The 21,597-nt window shown below is 53.3% G+C and overlaps 1 protein-coding gene across 2 annotated transcripts in view, besides 4 other annotated features; it reads right to left on the bottom strand.

Moving 5' to 3' along the window:
• The window catches only part of DLGAP2 (DLG associated protein 2), a 970,849-nt gene that overhangs the window by 759,532 nt on the left and 189,720 nt on the right, over nucleotides 1-21,597 (bottom strand). The window lies entirely within an intron of this gene.
• Nucleotides 7,959-8,459: an enhancer, noted in NCBI's record as "H3K4me1 hESC enhancer chr8:890486-890986 (GRCh37/hg19 assembly coordinates)". NCBI's record gives its function as "activates a minimal SCP1, AML or CMV promoter by ChIP-STARR-seq in naive H9 embryonic stem cells {active_cell/tissue: H9 hESC(naive)}" and the evidence as "EXISTENCE:reporter gene assay evidence [ECO:0000049][PMID:30033119]".
• Nucleotides 9,681-10,233: an enhancer, noted in NCBI's record as "H3K27ac-H3K4me1 hESC enhancer chr8:888712-889264 (GRCh37/hg19 assembly coordinates)". NCBI's record gives its function as "activates a minimal SCP1, AML or CMV promoter by ChIP-STARR-seq in naive H9 embryonic stem cells {active_cell/tissue: H9 hESC(naive)}" and the evidence as "EXISTENCE:reporter gene assay evidence [ECO:0000049][PMID:30033119]".
• Nucleotides 10,234-10,787: an enhancer, noted in NCBI's record as "H3K4me1 hESC enhancer chr8:888158-888711 (GRCh37/hg19 assembly coordinates)". NCBI's record gives its function as "activates a minimal SCP1, AML or CMV promoter by ChIP-STARR-seq in naive H9 embryonic stem cells {active_cell/tissue: H9 hESC(naive)}" and the evidence as "EXISTENCE:reporter gene assay evidence [ECO:0000049][PMID:30033119]".
• Nucleotides 15,279-15,849: an enhancer, noted in NCBI's record as "H3K27ac-H3K4me1 hESC enhancer chr8:883096-883666 (GRCh37/hg19 assembly coordinates)". NCBI's record gives its function as "activates a minimal SCP1, AML or CMV promoter by ChIP-STARR-seq in primed H9 embryonic stem cells {active_cell/tissue: H9 hESC(primed)}" and the evidence as "EXISTENCE:reporter gene assay evidence [ECO:0000049][PMID:30033119]".

The raw sequence follows: 21,597 nt of genomic DNA, 5'->3' as shown, positions 1-21,597 counted from the left end.
TCACCCTGGCGTCCCCCCGCCAAGATGGCGGCAGTCACGCCCACGGGCCCTGCTCCCACCCTAACACCAGCCCTGGCTCCCGAGTGGCTTCAGGCCAGGACGCGCCTCTGCTCCAAAGCATGAGGTGTTTGCCCGGTCACTCATGGCGAAAGGCAGTGTCTGACAAGGCTGGCTCCCCACGGCCTGAGCCCTGCTCACTCAGCCCCAGGGGCAGTGAGAAGGGTGGCCTGGGCTGCGCTGGAGCAGCAGGGAGACGTGGGGCCGGGCAGCGCCGCGGCATTTCCACACTGCAACCCCGGCCTGGCTCTGAGAACGCAGCCTCGCCTTCCACGGCGCCTTGAGGAACCCACTGTCACCGCTTACTTCACCTCCTTCCTCTGCACTCAGGCCCCGTGGGGCTCAGGGAGCAGAGCGGAGGAGCCAACGTCTCCCCTGCTGTGACCCCGCCATCACCCAGCAGGCGCCTGGTGTGGTGGGAGAGATGGAGGCCGGGCCTGAGGAAGGAAGGGGAAGGCATGGGACCCTGTCGCCCGCTTCGCCCACTCCTCCTGCACCCGGGGCTGGCCGAGCTCACGTCTTACTTCCTCTTTCTTCCTTCCTCTGCACGGACCTCACGCCCGCAGGCGACACGCATGAGGAGCCAGGGTCGAGGCCAGTGGCATCACAGCACCCAGGAAACAGGGTCCTCCACACAGGGCCGTAGGGGGAGCCTCCACCTATGCCCCAAATCAAAGTGAAAGATCTTCTCTCCCGGCCCAAGTTGTCCCACGGCCTGGGGTTCAGGACGCCCACAGCTGGGCAGCAGATCAGCCCGCACTGGCTGGCACAGGGTCAGTGGAACCATGGCGCACGCGGGCTGGCATGGGGTCGGGGAAGCCATGGCGCACACGCGGTGGGGTCATGACGCACGCGGGCTGGCACGGGGTCGGGGGAGCCATGGCGCACACGCGGGCTGGCATGGGATCAGGGAAGCCATGGCGCACGCGGGCTGGCACGGGGTCGGTGGAACCCATGGCACACGCGGGTTGGCACGGGTTCGGTGGGGCCATGGCCCACACGGGCTGGCACAGGGTTGGGGAGCCATGGCACACATGGGCTGGCACGGGGTCGGGAGCCATGGCACACACGGGCTGGCACAGGGTCGGGGAGCCATGGCACATGCTGGCTGGCACAGGAGGGACCGGGGAGCCGGATCCTCAAAAGTGACGGGTGGGAATGGAGAAGTCTCTTGGCAGAGCCCTTCCCGGAGCCGTGGGCAGGGAGGGCCAGGACAGGATGGCCCGGCCAAGAGCAGACAGCGCCGCGCGTGGAGGTGGTGACCAGGCTGAAGCCAGCGGGGCCTGGGCCGGTTGGTGTGAGACTGGCAGGCACACCGAGGGGCCCGGCAACCTGTGGGTCCAGGATCAGCAACCTGCAGCCACCACAGGCTCCACGGGCCACATCTTACTGGAACACAGCCGCCACCGTCTCTACGCTTCGTGTAAGGGCAGGGCTGAGCCGCGCGGACGTAAGGGGCCTGTCGCAGCAAGTGCAAGGCCAGCGCAACATGAAAATCCTTCCCGCAAAATTACGTCCTGTGTGAGGGAGCCCCTGCTGACAGGACCCCTCTGCTGCCAGGACCCCTGCCCCCGTCCCCAGGGCCCAAACCACCTGGCGCCCAGCCCCTGACAGGAACGAGAGTGGACCCCGGGAGATTCCTGGTAGAGAGTGTGGGGCAGCCCTGCAGATGCAGCTCCCCGGGCTCCTGGGTTGTTCTTACAGTAAGAACAACTGTAAAGCATGACTCGGCTGCTGTGTTCAATTGAAAGACAGTCTTCCTGGCAGATGCGGGCGCACCCGGAGCCAGGGATGCCATCCCAGAGGGAACTAGAAAGTCTCTCTTGGGAGGCGCCTTCCTGGGAGCCTGAAGCCGTTCCAGCCGCAGGTGCAGCCGAGTGCAGCCACCGGTGTCCAGCAGGTGGTGCTGCTACCCGACGTCCCAGAGCCCTCGCCCGGTGCGCAACCCCGGCAGCAGGACAGGGCGGCCGGTGGCTTTTCCTCCTGCTTTATGCACAGACTGTGCTACGAAGGCTGCTGGCAGCCACCGTCAGGGACGGGGGAGCTGCTGTGCTATTGCTGTTTCTATCTGTGTGTAATGGCAGTTCTTTTGTAATGAGAAGGGCTCTGCAGTCCACAGAGTTCATAGAGAATTCTCAAGACCACTATGGCACTCAGTCCTGACACTCAGAGTGATAACATGGGCTTTGCGGTGGCAGCCACCTAGACAGGTATTACCTGTCTGCTGTTACCATGCAAAATTTCAATCTAGAAATAAAAACAGAAAGAACCCCTATCTAGTCACTCTGTCATGCACACTGTGTGACAAGTAAAAACTAAGGAACGGGCCGGGCGCGGTGGCTCACGCCTGTAATCCCAGCACTTTGGGAGGCCAAGGCGGGCAGATCACAAGGTCAGGAGATCGAGACCATCCTGGCTAATATGGTGAAACCCCGTCTCTACAAAAACTACAAAAAATTAGCCGGGCGTGGTGGCGGGCGCCTGTAGTCCCAGACACTCGGGAGTCTGAGGCAGAAGAATGGTGTGAACCCGGGAGGCGGAGCTTGCAATGAGCCCAGATCGCACCACTGCACTCCAGCCTGGATGACAGAGTGAGACTGTCAAAAAAAAAAAAAAAACCTAAGAAACAGCACTATTCTCACAGAAGCACCAAGTTACTCAGACAAATGCCAATACACATCCCAGGAGATCAGATGACAATCAATGTGTGACTCCCTGGGGGAGTCAGGGGGTCACGCTAAGGGTTTGCCCAAGCGCAGCTTCCCAGAGCCTTCCTGCAATCACAGGGACACACAAATGGGGGTGCTGAGCACAGGAGGCTGCAGCCCTGGAAGGCAAGTTTACGCCTATTCAGGAGCAAAGGAGTTCAACCCCCCAGAGACCATGCAGCAAAGTGGGGCACAGTCATCAACTAACTTCTTAAAAGGGCACAGGAGAAGATCAGTCTCGTTACTTTCCAGGAACTTCCCATGTCTTCAAGGAAACATGGGAACTTCAACACACATATTTCAGACAAAACAACATTAATGTAGGCAAAGAGACACACGCAGAGAGAGAGGGGGAAATGGACAGCGAGGGAGCGAGAGAGGGAGGAGAGGGAGAGAGTGAGAGAGAGAGCAAAAGCAAGAAAAGGAATTAACTTGGAGAAAATTAGAAAATGTTCCCTGTAAATGTTCCCAATAAAGATGCTGCTAAAGAAATGACTCAATGTTCATTCCTTAAACTTATAAACCACAAGTAATGCTCAATAGGCTTTTTGGGGGAACAAACTCTTACACAAATGCACGTTAAGTGGTGGCGTTTTTAGCTGTTCTCCGGGCTGAGTAAGAAGAGACAAAGATGGGGCAGGGAGGGAAATGGTGACCTCAGCTTGTCCGGGGCTCAGCCTCATTCTTCGTGAGTTTAGTATTTCTAGCTGCTAGTAAACTAGGAAAATTTAAAGTCTAACAATAAACACAGAAATGCTACACCTGTATTCAAGGTCAAACAACATGTCAGTTTCAAAAGGGGTCTAGAAACTCACTCTTTCTCCATAGGCCAATGACCTGATTCTGAGAATTGTTTCTGGTGACAGGCCAAGGAGAGATGCATAGATCCACTCCCAGGAGGGAGGACATAGACAGGAGTGCAGGGAAGGGGACCAGAAGCAGCCATCAGCTGCTGGTGCCTTGGATTTAAAACACTGCTCACACTTTTTATAAACCAGTCAGATAATGGAAAAATAAAAACAAAAGTCATGGTTCTTAGGGGTGTTTTGTGCACTGAATCCTCATTCTCCCCAATACAGGTTTCTGTCAAAGAATTCCCAAACTGAACAGAACAGAAATTGGGGTGGAAAGAACTTTGCTCTTGAATTAGTCACATCTAACACATAGATTGTGTTAAACACCCAGAAGTGACCAACTATCACTCCACAGATCACTAGGAAAATCAGTTACCACCCACCAGATCACCCACATGGATCAGTTATCACCCACCAGATCACCTGCAGGGTTTGGCTGCCACTGACTGGATCACCTGCACAAAGTCGTTACCAACCACTGGATCACCCGCAGGGATCATTACCACCCACTGGATCACCCATATCGACTGGTTACCACCCCCTGGATCACCCACATGGATCAGTTACCACCCACCAGATCACCTGCAGGGATTGGCTGCCACTGACTGGATCACCTGCACAAAGTCGTTACCAACCACTGGATCACCCGCAGGGATCATTACCACCCACTGGATCACCCATATTGACTGGTTACCACCCCCTGGATCACCCACATGGATCAGCTACCACCCACTGAGTCACCTGCAGGGATGTTACCACCCACTGGGTCAGCCACAGGGATCGACTGCCACCCACTGGATCACCCACATGGACTGGTTACCACCCAATGGATCACCCACAGGGACTGGTTACCACCCACTGGATCACCTACAGGGATCAGTTGTCACCCACTGGGTCATCCACAGGGATCAATTACCACCTGCTGGATCACCCACAGGGATTGGTTACCACTCACTGGATCACTCACAGGGATTAGTTATCACCCACTGGATCACCCACATGGACTGGTTACCATATCCACTGGATCACCCACATGGGCTGGTTACAATCCACTGGATCACCCACAAGGATCAATTACCACCCACTGGATCACCCACAGGGACTGGTTACCACCCAGTGAATCACTCACAGGGACGGGTTACCGCCCACTGGATCACCCCACAGGGATCAGTTACCACCTAACAGATCAGCAGCAAAATATTTTCTGAGCAACAGTCATACTGCCTTCCTCATTTGGGCAAATTATACAATATAGTTAGATACCAAATGGTCTCTACGCCAAAACAAGTCACAGATTTGTGAAAACAAAGCTGTGTTATGTTTGTAATCTCAAAATTAATCATCTGCAGGGAGATCTTGATGTCTTCACTATTGATCTTCAACACTGACAGATTCAAATCTTATCTATGAGAGATTAAGGTTGACTTCCTGGAATTCTGGATGAGAAATTTAAGCACACACTGTTCAGATACCTTCATTAACTTTTGACAATTTTCAATCTAATCCATAATGTTTCACTAAATAGTGCGTTAGATCAAAATTTACTACCAGCTCCTCCACATGATCGTGTACAGAGCGGTTCTCGCTGTGCTTGTGGCGGGATGGCCACATCACGACGTCTACATGCCAGATCCTCCACATGATCTTGTACACAGTGGTTCTTGCCGTGCTTGTGGCGGGATGGCCACATCACGACGTCCACATGCCAGCTCCTCCACATGATCGTGTACAGAGCGGTTCTCGCTGTGCTTGTGGCGGGATGGCCACATCACGACGTCCACACGCCACCTCCTCCACATGATCTTGTACACAGCGGTTCTTGCTGTGCTTGTGGCGGGATGGCCGCGTCATGACGTCCACACACCGGAGCTCTACTTTCCCACAGAGCAGCCACCAGACACGCGGGTGCCGCACATATGAAACGTGGCCAGTCAAAACCAAAGTGTCCGGTGCATAAAAATACACACTGGATTTCAAGGACTTCACATTAAAAAATGTAAAATCTCGCCGTATGATTTTTTTTTCCCACTGATGACACGCTGTGCAGAAAGGCAAGCAGCAAGCCTGAGAATGCGATCCCTAGAAAGGCTGCCTGGAAAAGTGGCCATCCTGTGTCTGAGCACTCAACTGGTAAACATTTCTCTACCCTGTGGTCTGGTATAAAATAGCCCCTAAAATTGTAAGAGTTCCTCACTGTGCGCACACCCTCTGTATAAACAATGTGATGCCAGCTGAGCACCTGATTTTCTTCTGAAAGTCAGGAATTCGGATTGTGGTCAGTCACGCAAGCTCAATATGCCCATGTGGCCAACCCACAATCCAACCCCGAACTCCCAGGCTCCGATGAGCAGCGCTGATAGATGGTGTTCCGCACACCCTTGCAACGCATCACTGGAGAGGCAAACATGCCCGTGTGGCTCTCCTGGGAGGGAGTTTTGGGAGCCTGCACTGTCTTCCTCCAGACTCCAACCTGTGCACCTTTTCCCTTTGCTGGCTTAGCTCTATGTCTTTTCACTGTAATGAATTCTACCTGTGAGTAAAACCTCATGCTGAGCCCTGTGAATCCTAGCAAATCACCAAGTCTGTAGTTGGTCTTAAGGACCCCAGTGAAGTTGGTGTCAGAAGTGGGGTTGGCTAACATGACTCTGCCTCACTGAAATACGATGAAAGCTTTCTTTGGGAAAATGAAGGATGAAGAGGTGAAGATGAGATGTTAGCTCCTGAGTCTTCCACAGCATGAAATGCAGCTGAGCTGCCAAATGCCGTGAAAGGTAAAAGTCATCTATGGAGTTTAGAAATGATAGTCCAAGCCCAGGAGAGCTGGGATGCTGGACCTGGAGATGGATTTTGGCTGTTCTGGATGATGTGAGTGGGAAAAGTACATCCCAGGTGGGGACTCTGGTTTTCTGTTCTCTCCTCCAGGTGGGAGGAGAAAGACCCCAACATTTCTAAGGTGAGTGCTGAGTGTGCCAGAAACACTACAAGTGTGTGTTGCTCCCTCCCTGAAGTGGGAAGAATAAATGTGAGGTCAGGTTACACAGGCGGCAGCAGAGCTTTAGATAAACAGAAATGCTCAGGGCTGGGCCCATTGGCTCCTGCCTGTAATCCCAGCACTTTGGAAGGCTGAAATAGGAGGATCACTTAAGCCCAGGATTTCAGGACCATCCTGAGCAAACAGTGCAAGACCCCATCTCTACAAATATTAGCTGGACATAGTGGCATGCACCTGTGGTCCCAGTGACTCGAGGCCAGAGGAGGAGAATCACTGAAGCCTAGAATTCGAGACCAGCCTGGACAACAGAGAGCCCATCTCTACAAAAAAAGACCATTTTTTAAAGAGAGACAACAAAAACATTCCCACTGATGATGCATCAGCACCCCCGCTTCCCAGCCAAAACCTCCGGGCACCTGTAATGTCAGCCCTGTAAATGCTGAGTTTAATGCCAGAGGTTTCAGTAAACTTCCAATGAGGAAAAAAAGAAAGGGAGGATTTTCAAAAAAAAAAATGTATTTTGTGGCTACTGAATCAGAATATAGGACCTACACTGATGTAAAATATTATATGCTTGCAATTTCCTAAATGCTAGAGAGCTCATCCCAATCAAAGAAAGCCGCACAAAGAATAATAACATAGAGGGGACACAGCTGCTTAGGACACCATGGCTTTTCGCTGTGGCTGGCAGATTGAAATGCACACTTCCTGAGAATTAGATCTCCAGAACGATGAGAGCTGCTGTTATTTTTTCCAATAGCGCCTGTGGAGAAAGGGGAGCAGGGAGAGAGGCAATCTCCAGATGGAGACACTCTTCCACGGTTTTTAAAGGCACTTTTTAGTTAGTAATGAGCCCTCGTGGCATCTAGAGTCTGACGGGTTTCCAGCCTGATGTGCACATCTCGAGTGAGTAACACAGACCCTTGGCTGACAAAGCAAAAGGGCATGGGGGAGCCTTGCTTGGACCGGGCTTGGGACATGACCCTGGTACATCTCACCTTGCCGCTGCCCAAGAAAAGCCACTGGCTTTTCCCAAAATCCTAGATACACAGATCCTAACTGCCCAAACCTCAGTCTATGCTAAAACCAGACAGCATCTGCTGTGTCTGTCTGGTCACTAGCTGTGCCCAGCTGAGATCAGGTGACCAGTTCCACCCCACAAACAGGACTCAGACGCAGGGACAGCAGCATCCCACGACCCCCCTGAGGGTCCCACACGAAAGCTCCTGGGAAAGGGCCTGTTCTCTGGTGGGGCTGTCTGAAAGCACACTGCTGAGCTCTGTACCGTGCTTCTGGTACAAAGGCTAACTATGTGTGATTCCTGCAAAACCTGTAGATGGGTGGGGGCATCCCTGAACTGTGACCCCGCTGCTCCCCTCTCCTGGCAGGTGGTACCCTACGCCCGCTCTGGGGGACATCTCAGGGCTGGTGACTCCTGGGCTCAGCCTCCCGAGCAGCCTGACTGCCTCCTCCCCTCCTCCCAGAGCAGAGACCTCAGTGAGGTGGGTGGACAACCACCAATAACTCTTCCCAGAAAGGTGGTGATCTTTTCTCATTGGATAATGATCAGAACAAAAGTGGCTGCAGAAAACTATTTTAAATTTTTGTAAAACAAAACCCCAGCATCTGGAGACATGGGAGAAGAGGGAGAGCATCAATGAACTTTGGTTTTCCAAACTGTCCTGAAAACCTTTCCTTCCCCCTTCCCCCGAAAACGTCCCAGGCTGCCCTCCCCAGCTGTTGCCAGAGCCCTGAATTCAAAGTGACCCAGAGCCTCTGACCGCATGTCATGGACACGGATGTGGTCAGCTCCTGCATGTTCCTCACAATACACTCACAGACGATGTCCACACCCACATTTCAGATGAAGAATCCCGGCTAAGCAGGGACGAACCACCCAGGGTGAAATCACAGGGAACTCCTGGGCTTCAGCACCCTTTTCCCTCTCTCTCTCCCTCTCCCTCTCTCTCTCTCTCTCTCTGTCCCTGTGCCTGGCTCTGTCAACCTCACAGGACCACCTCATGTCGCAGGCATTGGTTTTCGTGCCTCTGCCCATCCTGGCCACCTGACCAGCTCAGAATGTCGCCATTATTGTTCTCCCAATTTTAAAGGTGAAATGGAAACTCAGAGAACTTAAGTAAATGTCACAAGAGTCATCAAATACGTAGTAAAACTCAAGCCATAAGCCATGTCTTCAGGCCCCACGCCCCACGCCCCACTGTCTTTCCACAGCTCTGTGGCCTTCGTTCACATTCCAAGCACCCTACTGCACTCCATAGCAGCCAAAGAAGCTTTCCACCTTAAAGACGGAGATCCCGGCTCCTTCTATTCCCGGATTCTCTCATGGGCAGTTGGGGGCCTGGTGTGCGCTCTCAGGAGCCTGTACGTGTTCACCCTGGGAAGGCCTCAGCCATCCCCTCATGGGACCGCAGCCTGGGGCCTCCGAGTGGGCACCCCAGCCCCTGTGTCTGCACCTCCCACTCCCAGGCACCCCAGCCCCTGTGTCTGCACCTCCCACTCCCAGGCACCCCAGCCCCTGTGTCTGCACCTCCCAATCCCAGGCACCCCAGCCCCTGTGTCTGCACCTCCCACTCCCAGGCACCCCAGCCCCCCTGTGTCTGCACCTCCCACTCCCAGGCACCCCAGCCCCTGTGTCTGCACCTCCCACTCCCAGGCACCCCAGCCCCTGTGTGTGCACCTCCCACTCCCAGGCACCCCAGCCCCTGTGTGTGCACCTCCCACTCCCAGGCACCCCAGCCCCTCTGTGTGTGCACCTCCCACTCCCAGGCACCCCAGCCCCTGTGTGTGCACCTCCCACTCCCAGGCACCCCAGCCCCTCTGTGTCTGCACCTCCCACTCCCAGGCACCCCAGCCCCTGTGTGTGCACCTCCCACTCCCAGGCACCCCAGCCCCTGTGTGTGCACCTCCCACTCCCAGGCACCCCAGCCCCTCTGTGTCTGCACCTCCCACTCCCAGGCACCCCAGCCCCCCTGTGTCTGCACCTCCCACTCCCAGGCACCCCAGCCCCTGTGTCTGCACCTCCAACTCCCAGGCACCCCAGCCCCTCTGTGTCTGCACCTCCCACTCCCAGGCACCCCAGCCCCTGTGTCTGCACCTCCCACTCCCAGGCACCCCAGCCCCTCTGTGTCTGCACCTCCCACTCCCAGGCACCCCAGCCCCTGTGTCTGCACCTCCCACTCCCAGGCACCCCAGCCCCTGTGTCTGCACCTCCCACTCCCAGGCACCCCAGCCCCTGTGTCTGCACCTCCCACTCCCAGGCAGGGGCCGTGATCCCGCTTTCTGCAGCCCTGCCGGTGGCTGCTCTGCTGCGTCTCTGGAGGTTGCCTGCAGAGGTTTCTGAACAGAAAGGCTCAGCCTCCTTAGCACAGATGCCCTTCACCTCATACCTTGGTCTCATCCTCACACTCTTCCTCGGGGCTTAAGGCAGAGGCCTGGGAGTTTCTGCCATTTTCTCTCCCATCCTCTGCCCTCTCCTTGGCCTCTGAGGCAATGAGAGCCGAGACCTGGGTTCCCTCTGGCTCCCGTGGCCCCTGTGCTGAGACACACAGGGCTGAAACATTGGCTGGCCGTGCCCACACCACCTCACAGCCAGGCCACAGCCCCCCACAAGCTGAGCTACACAGGGCTGCCATGCCGGCTGGTCACCCCCAGGTCACACTCTGGCTTCTGAGCAGGAGGCCAGTGTGGCCATCCAAGCCTCTTTCTTGCAGTCAGGAATAAGGAACTGCTTCTGCAGGGAGCAGGGGAGGCCCTTGTAGGCTGGGTCTGGCCCAGATCCCTTCCCTACCCCCACCGTGTGCTCCACACAAACCATGCATCCACTACAGCCTGCTCAGGGTCCAGGCCTGGTCTTTCTTCTTCACCTCCGTCCCCTTGAGAACTTGGATCCAACCTCAAGCTCTCTATGGGCAACATAGTGAGACCTTGTCTCTACAAAAAAATTTAAAAATCAGCCAGGCATGGTGGCGCATACCTGTAGTCCTAGCTACCCAGAGACGGAGGAAGGAGGATCGCTTAAGCCTGGGAGTTCTGGGCTGTAGTGAGCCTTCAAAGGGTCTCTCTCTGTCACCATTATACTCCAGCCTGGGCAACAGAGAGAGACCCTGTCTCAATTTAAAGGGAAAACATGCTGAGTCTAACTTGTCATTGAGCTTTGTGGCCTTCCCAGGCTCGTGTGAGATCCGCAGCTCACACTGCACGTTTGATGTCCTAAGTCAGGAAGCGCAGCACCCCTCCTCTTTCACAGTGCACGGCAGGGCCTCAGCAGATATGTGTGGAAGGAATAGTTGTCTGAGACACAAGGCCAGAGGGTCCTGATATGAGAGTAAGAACTGCTGAACTACCCTCAGCTCCACCTTGGATCAGCACTGCAGAAAGGCCGGGATGGACACCTCCTGTCCCCCTACCCCAGGCACCTGTCACCTCCTCACAGAGTCACAAAAAGGCAGGACACTGAACTTGGAGGCGTCCGTAGAGTCGATCCCACTCCTTCACTTTCGGTAAGAGAAAAATGAGGCCTAGACAGGGAACATACACCTTAGGACACAGGGCACAGACGCAGACAACACCAGATTCCCTTGATTGTAGGAGATGGAGGAGAAGACCCTGTCCCATCCAAGCTCCACCTGGCACCCAGCGAGGCAGTTGGGCAAGATAAGGCCCCTGCCTTCCAAGGGTATTCTCTCCAGCATTTCCTCCAGCTCCTCCAGCCCCAAGCAACTCCAGGGACCTGTGTGGAGAAAGATTGCTCTCTCTCTGATAAATGCACCCCACCATCCACAGAGCTGAGGGTCTTTCCACTGTGTTGTTTTTGGCTTTGAAAATCATGCGACATTCTAAAAAATTCCATTAACTGGCATCTCTTTAAAGAAGTCTCTCTCATAGTCATGGGGAAAAATAGGCTTCTTAAAAAAATTTTTTTGGAGAAAGCCAGTGACAATTAGATCCGATTTTAAAACAATAGAGATGATGAAAAACTTAAAACATCACTCTTGTTTTGATCTTAATATGGTGAAATATGGGCATGTTTTTGAATCCATAAGAAACAGCATGCCCATCATGGTGATAATGACTAGAGAGGACTCACAGCTGAGAGATCCTTTCTAAATGATAGCATTTTCCCAGTACAACAGCAAGACAGGCAGCACCTCGTCAGGCGAGCGAGGGAGACTTGAGGAGCGTCCTCAGGAGAAAGTCTTAAGAAGAGTGCCATGGCTGAAGGGCACCACATGTCTGTAGATGTGCGGGGCCTTCACACAGGAGGCCATCATGGCAAGACCTCTGTACACAGAAACAGGTCCCGCCACCAGCTCTGAGGCCTGAGGAAAGTTCACACATAAGCCTAGGCCTTTAGAAAGGGCAGTATTGATTACCCATTGACGTCACGCAGTGCGCTTTGTGAAAATGGTCCACGGTGGTGAAACGATGGACCAGAATCTTCTCCTACACTGCTGGAAACATTCTCCTGGTCAGCACTTTTATTCAAAAGTCATGAAAAAGTTGACTAAATGCTCTCATCCAACTTCCCGGGCATCTGCAGAGCATTCCCTTAAACAGCAGCTCCCTGCCACCTCCATGCTGTACCCTAAGTGCCCAACAGCAACTAAAAAACCAAAACAAAAAGAGAGGACCTTGCACTCAGCTTGCAACCAGGCTCCAGCTTCCAACTAGGCTCCAGCTCAGACTCCTGCACCGAGTTCCATGTTTCAGGGCCTGGTGTGCCTCAGTCGTGTTCTGTCATCCGTCATGTCTAAGTGTGTTTCCTTCACAAGATCTCTACACCCCAGCAGCCCAGGAGCCATGCGTCCTGCTCTAGTTTCAGAGCTTCCCTCTGAGAGGGAGAGGCGGCTGGGCTTCCCTTCCTCCCTAGGCATTAAGTTCTTAAAAGAAAGGCCGCCATCTCCCAGGGGAGGCAATGCAATCAGAGGTCCTACTCAACAGCAAACATCCTTCCCGAGTTTTACACATTGGTCGGTTCCTGCACTTTGCTTTTTCCAATGTAGAAGCATGTGTGGCCACCTTCAAATAGAGCCCCCTTGGGTCCCCTTCTCTTTCTTGATGGGAGCAGTCAAGGCTGCTTGCTCTGGCCCTCTAGGCTCTGCTGACCGGGCCACACAGACTCCTACAGAGGCTCACTCTCTTCAGAGACCCTCTTCATAAACCGACTGTGACTCAGCGACACACGGTACACAGTGTTCTGTTCCACTCAGTCAGAACACACCGGCAGCTCAACCCACAACGTGCTCCGCGAGCTAATTTCCAGCAGGTTGGAGACGGGTCCCACTGGGCAGGGTCCTCGGTCATTTTAATGAACTTCCTACTCTGACTCTTAGACTGTTCCCAGTTTCCTAGAAACAATCATTGTTAAATGTCCCCACTCTTATGCAGCTCTCCAAATTTCATTAAGCAAATATGAACAATAATTGATAGACATTTTAATAATAACCACATAAAAAGCACATAAACACTCATACTCCCTGAAAAACAAAAAGCCAACCCAGAGGTTTATGTGGAATTCCACCGAGTATCCAACAAACAGGAACCACTATGCTTTGAGGGAAGCTCTGAAACTAGAGCAGGACGCACGGCTCCTGGGCTGCTGGGGTGTAGAGATCTTGTGAAGGAAACACACTTAGACACGACGGATGACAGAACACGACTGAGGCACACCCGGCCCTGAAACATGGAACTCGGTGCAGGAGTATGCAAATGCGACAGAGCCACACCGTCCAAGAGAAATACAGTGTGAGCACATGTGCCATTTATGGCTTTATTAACTACATTAAAACCATAAGAAACAGGTGAGATTAATTTTAATATAGTTTATTTAATCCAACATATGCAAAATATCACTTCCACATGCAATCCACATAAAAAAATTAATAAGCTACTTCACATGTGTTTTCATACCAAGTCTTCAAAATCCAGCATGTAAAATGCTTTACATGGACAGACCCTCTGGACTGAGGAGCCGGGCATCCTGGGCTCACGACCGCATGTGGTTGGCAGCTGACACAAGGTTTGTACAGCGAGGACTCCCACACACAGCTTTGGGTCCAAGGCAAAGAGCACATCTCTGAGCCCTTGACCCACACCGGGAAGGAAGAGAGACGCCCCCATGGTGGAGTCGCTCAGAGAAGCTGTTTCCAACACTCCCGAGGGGCAGCCGCCTCAGCGTCCCCTGCGGGAATGGCAGCAGGCTCTCTTCAAGTGTGTGGGGTTTAATGGCCACTTACACAGCTCGCGGTACACGGTTCTGCTGGGCTGAGGTATTGTGCCCTTCCCAGTGCCAACGGAAGCCGAGTAATACACGTTCCTACAAATCACACTCAGAGGGTTTGGAAACGCTGAAGAGACAGAAAGGAGACTATGGGAATGCTGAATGCTCTTTAGACTTTAAAGAGGCAGAGCTGAGGGAAAGCTCTATCTTTGGACAGCAAATCACTCTTTCCTTCTGTTGCTCTTATAGCCGAGAACACCTGTGCGTCTGATCTGTTCTTCTTCAGACAGAATAGCCTTGAACTGAAGAAAAGGTGGGTACTCTGGTTCCCCAAATGTTCCATCTCCCCGAGAGCCGGCACAGGGCTGGGGTCCACCGCCTCCCTGAGCTCATGAGCATGAGCGAGCATGAAGCAGGATGAGTTTCCGCATCTGCACCCAGTGCCCGCTCTGCCTCCACCGTCCCCACCACAAGCCGGGAATAGCCACGTCACACGCCTCCTCGCAGAAGTGAGCACTCGCTTCCTCTCCACCCCCTGGGAGGCGCAGCTGACTCAGAGCCACCCCAAGTAGGGATGGGCAGAAACCAAGGCAAGAATCGAAGAGGTGGCCTGTTTCAAGCAGGTCCCACTCAATGGAGCTGGAAATAGATCGACTCCGACAGGCTGCCGTTCCCACTAAGTGGGATGAAAACAAAGAGCCAGGTGTCTCCACAGCAGTCTCTGCCCTCACCCTCCCCTCGTGCCCACGGCCAGGTGTCTCCACAGCAGGCTCTGCCCTCACCCTCCCCTCGTGCCCACGGCCAGGTGTCTCCACAGCAGGCTCTGCCCTCACCCTCCCCTCGTGCCCACGGCCAGGTGTCTCCACAGCAGGCTCTGCCCTCACCCTCCCCTCGTGCCCACGGCCAGGTGTCTCCACAGCAGGCTCTGCCCTCACCCTCCCCTCGTGCCCACGGCCAGGTGTCTCCACAGCAGGCTCTGCCCTCACCCTCCCCTCGTGCCCACGGCCAGGTGTCTCCACAGCAGGCTCTGCCCTCACCCTCCCCTCGTGCCCACGGCCAGGTGTCTCCACAGCAGGCTCTGCCCTCACCCTCCCCTCGTGCCCACGGCCAGGTGTCTCCACAGCAGGCTCTGCCCTCACCCTCCCCTCGTGCCCACGGCCAGGTGTCTCCACAGCAGGCTCTGCCCTCACCCTCCCCTCGTGCCCACGGCCAGGTGTCTCCATAGCAGGCTCTGCCCTCACCCTCCCCTCGTGCCCACGGCCAGGTGTCCACAGCAGGCTCTGCCCTCACCCTCCCCTCGTGCCCACGGCCAGGTGTCTCCACAGCAGGCTCTGCCCTCACCCTCCCCTCGTGCCCACGGCCAGGTGTCTCCACAGCAGGCTCTGCCCTCACCCTCCCCTTGTGCCCACGGCCAGGTGTCCACAGCAGGCTCTGCCCTCACCCTCCCCTCGTGCCCACAGCCAGGTGTCTCCACAGCAGGCTCTGCCCTCACCCTCCCCTCGTGCCCACGGCCAGATGTCTCCACAGCAGGCTCTGCCCTCACCCTCCCCTCATGCCCACGGCCAGGTGTCTCCACAGCAGGCTCTGCCCTCACCCTTGTGCCCACAGCCAGGTGTCTCCACAGCAGGCTCTGCCCTCACCCTCCCCTCGTGCCCACAGCCAGATGTCCACTGCAGGCTCTGCCCTCACCCTCGTGCCCACAGCCAGGTATCTGCACAGCAGGCTCTGCCCTCACCCTCCCCTCATGCCCACAGCCAGGTGTCCACAGCAGACTCTGCCCTCACCCCCGGGACCATGGCCAGGGCCGTCATTTGTTCCAGGACAGAGGGCTCCCTAACCCACAGAATGATCAGGGGTCAAGGAAGCAGCAGATGTGGCAAAGAGGGTCTGACCCTAGAGAGGCCTGAATTCCCGTCACAACCCGACCACCCATAAGCCAAAGCTTCCTTCTCTGAAGGGAACAGACAGCAGCTGCCACTGTGCAGGGTTCTGCAGGAACGGACGGGGACAGGATCGGAAGGTATGCTTATAGACGAGTCCATAGGAACTCCAGAAAATATCACTTCCTTCCCACATATTCTTGCAGGAAAGAAGAAAAAACCCTAACCATATATTTCCAATATTGTTTATCTTTGCCCAAAACAGTCTAAGAAGCTACAGAAAGATCGAGGGGAAAGGGGGAAGTTATGTTTTCAATCAGGAATGTGAAATGCTGACTGATCTTTTTCAAACTGTTGGTTATCAACATTTCTTCATCTTAAGAAATTTTTTTTTTAATTTTTCATTTTGAAATAATTTCAGACATATAGAAAAGTTACAAAAGCAGTACAGGGAATTCCTACATACTCTTTACCCTGATTTCCCAAACCCTGACATTTTATGTTCACGATTCTTTCTCTGTCTTTCATGTAATTTTTTTCAGAGCCACATGAGACTACATTGCAGGCATAATAGCCCTTCACATAATAAATGATTCATTATGTGCTTACTAAAACCAATGGCATTTTCATAATAATCACAATATGATGATCAAAATCTTGAAATACTAGTACTTCACTGACAAACCTTATTCACATTTTGCCAATTGTTCCACTCTTGTGTTTTATAGGAAATGAAAAAACAAAACTCAGCACAAAACCACACGTTGCACTTGTGACATCTCTAGTTTTATTTAACCTGGAACCATTTATCAGTCTTTCTCATCTCTAGTGAGAATTTTTCCCTTTACAAATCATAAGAAGAAAAGAACCGGATCATGAGAGTCCCTCCTATGAATTATTCACAGTGTGTGAAAATCCAAAGGTTATGAACTTCAGAGAACATTTGTCACCCTTTTCTATTTCAGAACACACGTGGCTGCTGGACTGCATGTGTGTTTATGGACTTTGGTCAGGAAAGTGTCTAGAGGCCAAAGGTGAGAGGGAAAAGGTGAAAAGGAAAAGGTTTGTCGACAAAAACATCAGACACTTGCTCTTCCTCCAAGATCCTAGCCAACTCACAGGAATGCCACGAGGTCTTACAGTACATGTTTGTGCTGCAATATTTCCTAGAAGGGAATATTTCCACTGATAACAGAACATTCCTCAAATAAAAGAAAGATTAACAAATAAAACGTACATGAGGCAAACATTCCTCCGTTTCCTTCCAGCCATGGGGACCAAACATCCCCTCGGTTACTCCTCTTGACAAGACAGAGGCCAAATGAATTCCAGCAAAAGGACTCAAAATTGCGGGTTTTACATACATTATGTTGTTTCATTGAGAGTCCAAAAAATGAAGATCAAGGATGTCATAAGACTCCAAAGATTTTTAAAGAAAAACCAAGTGGGGCCCTTTTTCCTGTGCCAACGCCCACCACTGTGTTTCAGCAGCCCAGTAAGAAGGGCTGGGAGCCAGGGCGTGGCCACCAGGACGACGGGAAGGGCTTTAATCAGAAACTCAGAATGGGCTGGCAAGGGTTCCAGAGAACAAATGAAATTCAAATGGAAGTAAGGAACCAAGCTTCCCGGGAGCCAAATGTCCCAGCTCTCACTGCAGGAAGAACATCATGACAAGTGGCAGTGCCTAAAAATAACGGCCGAGATACCTGGGATTCTTAACAGAAGGGCCAGGAATCCCAGATCCCAGGGTAGCCAGGGAATTTAAGAAGGAATCACAGGCGGCTTTTTCTAGAACATGTTCCTGATGCTTTTTCCAGAGCCAGGAGGCGGGAGAGGCAGAGCGCTCTTGTTCTCACCCTCGCGTGAAACGCCCCTGCCATTGCCTGCTCCCTCAGCGTGGGAGACCCCAGACACCAGGGTGTGGACATAACTGGAAACCACTTCTTCAGAAACACAACTGGCCCGTGTCAGCTGCACACGCTGCTCCTCAGCCCTCAGACACCCGCCTGTCCCAGGACCAAGATCCAGGAGCAAGATTCAGTAGGGCAGTGGCCTCAGTGCCTGGACTTCAGCTGACGGCTTTCTCACACATACCTCCTACCTACACATGCGTTTCTATTCAGCTGCAAAAAAAAAAATCCTCCCTTTTACTGCCCCCACCTCGGGAAATCATTTGACGAAGACAATTCTGTGATTATGTCATCTTCACTGGGGATTTAAGGAAACCCAGAAGAATGGATCTGAGCCCCCAAACCTCTGCCCTTCCCCTGCCTCCCTCCCCACTCATCTCCAGAACAACCCACAGAGTCCTCCCAATTCATGCAGTTCCAGAGGGATTTCCATGAGCAAGGCGCCTCCCTCCCATTACATAATAAACGGGATGTAAATCTGAGTTCCCTGGTTTTCACTGTTCACAGGACAGCCTCTGCACCACGGCCTGGCACACTGGTGTGGCTCCCACAGCTCTGGAAGACAGCGGGAGGAAGTCTCTGCAGTGTGGGGTCTCCATGAGGCTCCCAATCCCCGCACACCTGCACCTGCTCTTGGTGTCTGGCCCACAGCCTGTGTCCCACACCCAACGTGGCGGCAAGCCCAGGACGCACCTGCCCTCTCTGCATCTCCAGGTAGTCTTTGCAGGTTTCCTCCACTAACTAGAATATCTCTGTCTGCCTGGCAATCTATTGTAAAAGACTCAGCATTGAAGTCCCCTCCTCGGACCTTTTCTGCAGAGAACCCTCTCACCCCCTGGCTTCTGATGCAGTGTTGTTACATCATGCTGTGTGTGCCTGGAGTCCCTGGTGTGCACCCCAGCACAGGAACTCTTCGTTCATGTTACTGTCTCTCTGTAGGACACAATAATTTCCCCTAAAGCAGAGACAACATTGCATTTGTCTTTAAACGCTGGTGGCCGGCAGAGCAGGTGGATCGTGCACTGATTCCATGACCACATGATCAACCAAGAGGAGAACAAACTGGATTCCACGTCTTGCCTTTGCTTCCTCCAGGAAGGCAAGGGGCTGCGTAGCCCTGGGTTCTACAGTGAGTCACTCACTTTTCTAAGGTCTGCAAAAAGGAGAGGCCAGGGTCGCCAGGTCTGAGTCAGAATTCTCAGCCTTCAACCCGATGCAAACACATCAGTGTGGCCTGTCTCAGACTGACAGGCACAAGAAAATCATGAATCAGGATGAGCAGGTGCACCAACTCACTCCTCCCAGAGACACAACACAGAAAATTAGAACTGCAATGGCAGGAAGAAAAAAATACACATTTCTGAGGTGAAAAAACAAAGCCAGAGACCAAAGTAATTTCTATAGTGCCCAATACATTTCAATTCCATCCTGCACTAATGTGTCCATTCTTGGTAACTCAAATTAAAGTGGAAATGACTTGTACTATAAATCATGGAAACCAAGATCAATATTTCCTTCTAAGTATAATTAGACTGCAGCCCTCATTGTTGCCGGGAACTCTCAACCAAAGCCAGGCAAACACTGCTTGAGTACCGCGGTGTGGGATGTTTAGAGGGGGAATGGGGTGTGTGTGGGATGTTTAGAGGGGGAATGGTGGGGGGTGTGGGATGTTTACAGGGGGAATGGCGGGGGGTGTGGGATGTTTAGAGGGGGAATGGCGGGGGGTGTGGGATGTTTAGAGGGGGAATGGCGGGGTGTGTGGGATGTTTAGAGGGGGAATGGGGGGGTCTGGGATGTTTAGAGGGGGAATGGCGGGGTTCTGGGATGTTTAGAGGGGGAATGGCGGGGGGGTCTGGGATGTTTAGAGGGGGAATGGCAGGGGTGTGTGGGATGTTTAGAGTGGGAATGGCGGGGAATCGGGATATTTAGAGGGGGAATGGCAGGGGGGTGTGGGATGTTTAGAGGGGGAATGGCGGGGGTTCTGGGATGTTTAGAGGGGGAATGGCAGCGGGGTGTGGGATGTTTAGAGGGGGAATGGCAGGGGTGTGTGGGATGTTTAGAGTGGGAATGGCGGGGAATCGGGATATTTAGAGGGGGAATGGCAGGGGGGTGTGGGATGTTTAGAGGGGGAATGGCGGGGGGTCTGGGATGTTTAGAGGGGGAATGGCAGCGGGGTGTGGGATGTTTAGAGGGGGAATGGCGGGGGGTCTGGGATGTTTAGAGGGGGAATGGCCGGGGGTTCTGGGATGTTTACAGGGGGAATGGCAGGGGGTCTGGGATGTTTAGAGGGGGAATGGTGGGGGGTCTGGGATGTTTAGAGTGGGAATGGCGGGGGGGGTCTTCATCTTTCCAGAGAAACCTTGAGCAGTGTGTTGCAGCCAAAACTGCCTGAAAAGCCGTCCGGCCCACCCTGCCCCTACCCTGGTGTAAGCCCAGACCACCCACTTACGGCCTCAGTGCTCCTGTTTCCTCCTCTGTGAAATCAGGCTTCGCAACAGAAAATCCTCGAGTCCCTTCTAACTCGAAGGCTCTGTGAATCTTCTGGTTCTTCCTGCATCGAGGGCAGCGATTCCCACCTATTTCCTCCACATGTGGACACCTTGCGCCTGACCCGGGGTGCAAGGCAAAGGGCAGAGGAGGACCTGTCCAGTATCACCAAGTTCTTCCCCTGTGCTTTATTTTTTTTTATTCCTCTAAATCAAAAACCTTATGCTGTCTTCTGAGTGCATCCCACCCTTCACAGATGCCTTTGCAAGGTGTCAAGTACCCAGTCCCCGCCAGCATCACCCGTGTTGTCACCACAAGAATCAAACAGGCACCTGAGCACCAAGCTGGGGACCTGTTCCTCATTCCTCTTCCATGAAGCCTGGGATACACTAAGGGCACAGTAAATCCACGTCCAGGACACCTACTGAACACATTCTCGACCTCCGTAAATCCCCGACCAGGACACCTAGTGAACGCAAACTCGACCTCCGTAATCCCTGTCCAGGATGCCTAGTGAACACACACTCAACCTCGGTAAACCGTGTCCAGGACACCTAGTGAACGCAAACTCGACCTCAGGGAATCATGTCCAGGAAAATCTCGTAAATCTGCGTCCATGAGGCCTACTGAATATGAACTCAGCCTCAGTACATCCGTGTCTATGACATGACCAGAAATTCTCCTAGGAGGTGGCTTCAGGCTGGCGCCCTCCCCAGTCACAGGACCTGCCACAAAGACCATGAGACCCTCAGCCCTGGGCAGGGAACTCTGGTCCCGTTCTCCCGGGACCCCATGGCTGGCCGGCATCCCTTCTACTGCACACACGTGCTTCCCTCTGCTCTGCTATGGAATTCAAGTGTGTCCCATGGCATCTGATGGGCCTGGCACTGCTCTGCCCCTTCAGGGGAACTTGTGCATCTGTGTGCTGGTCCTTTGTGGGGTTTTTTTGTTTGTTTTTTGCAATTTAGCTCTCTGAACTCTGCCCTTTTTTTCTCATTATATACTTCTTGAGAAATTTCTAACTATAATCTCCAGGAACGACCAAGAACAGTAATTCCCAACTCTAACCCCATACTCCAAATCTCCTTCCTGCTCCATACATCCCAAGACCTCTGTCCCTCCCTGGTGTGTCTGGCTTGACACGTTTGTATGACAGCCGACAACAACCCCATACCCTACCCCACGGTGCTGGGCCCCACGATTCTCCTGTTAAGAACAGAATTGTTACGATTATGTCTGATCTATGAGGACACTGAGGCTCGGAGGCGTTAAGTGCCCTCTCTGGGTGAGGGACACACGCGGAGGACTTTGAACTTTAAGGACCTCAAAATCAGCCACCTGCTCAAAGCACATTCCTGACGTGAACAATTCCACCCTGAGACCTTTGGTGTGTGCCGCGTATGCTCAGGTAGACCCAAGAGCCTTGGGGACCAGAACGTTTTAAACACACCCCCACAAAGTGCTACAGT

Source organism: Homo sapiens, chromosome 8, assembly GCF_000001405.40.
Source record: "Homo sapiens chromosome 8, GRCh38.p14 Primary Assembly".
Lineage (NCBI taxonomy): Eukaryota > Metazoa > Chordata > Mammalia > Primates > Hominidae > Homo > Homo sapiens.
This window is presented reverse-complemented; position numbering and strand designations above follow the sequence as displayed.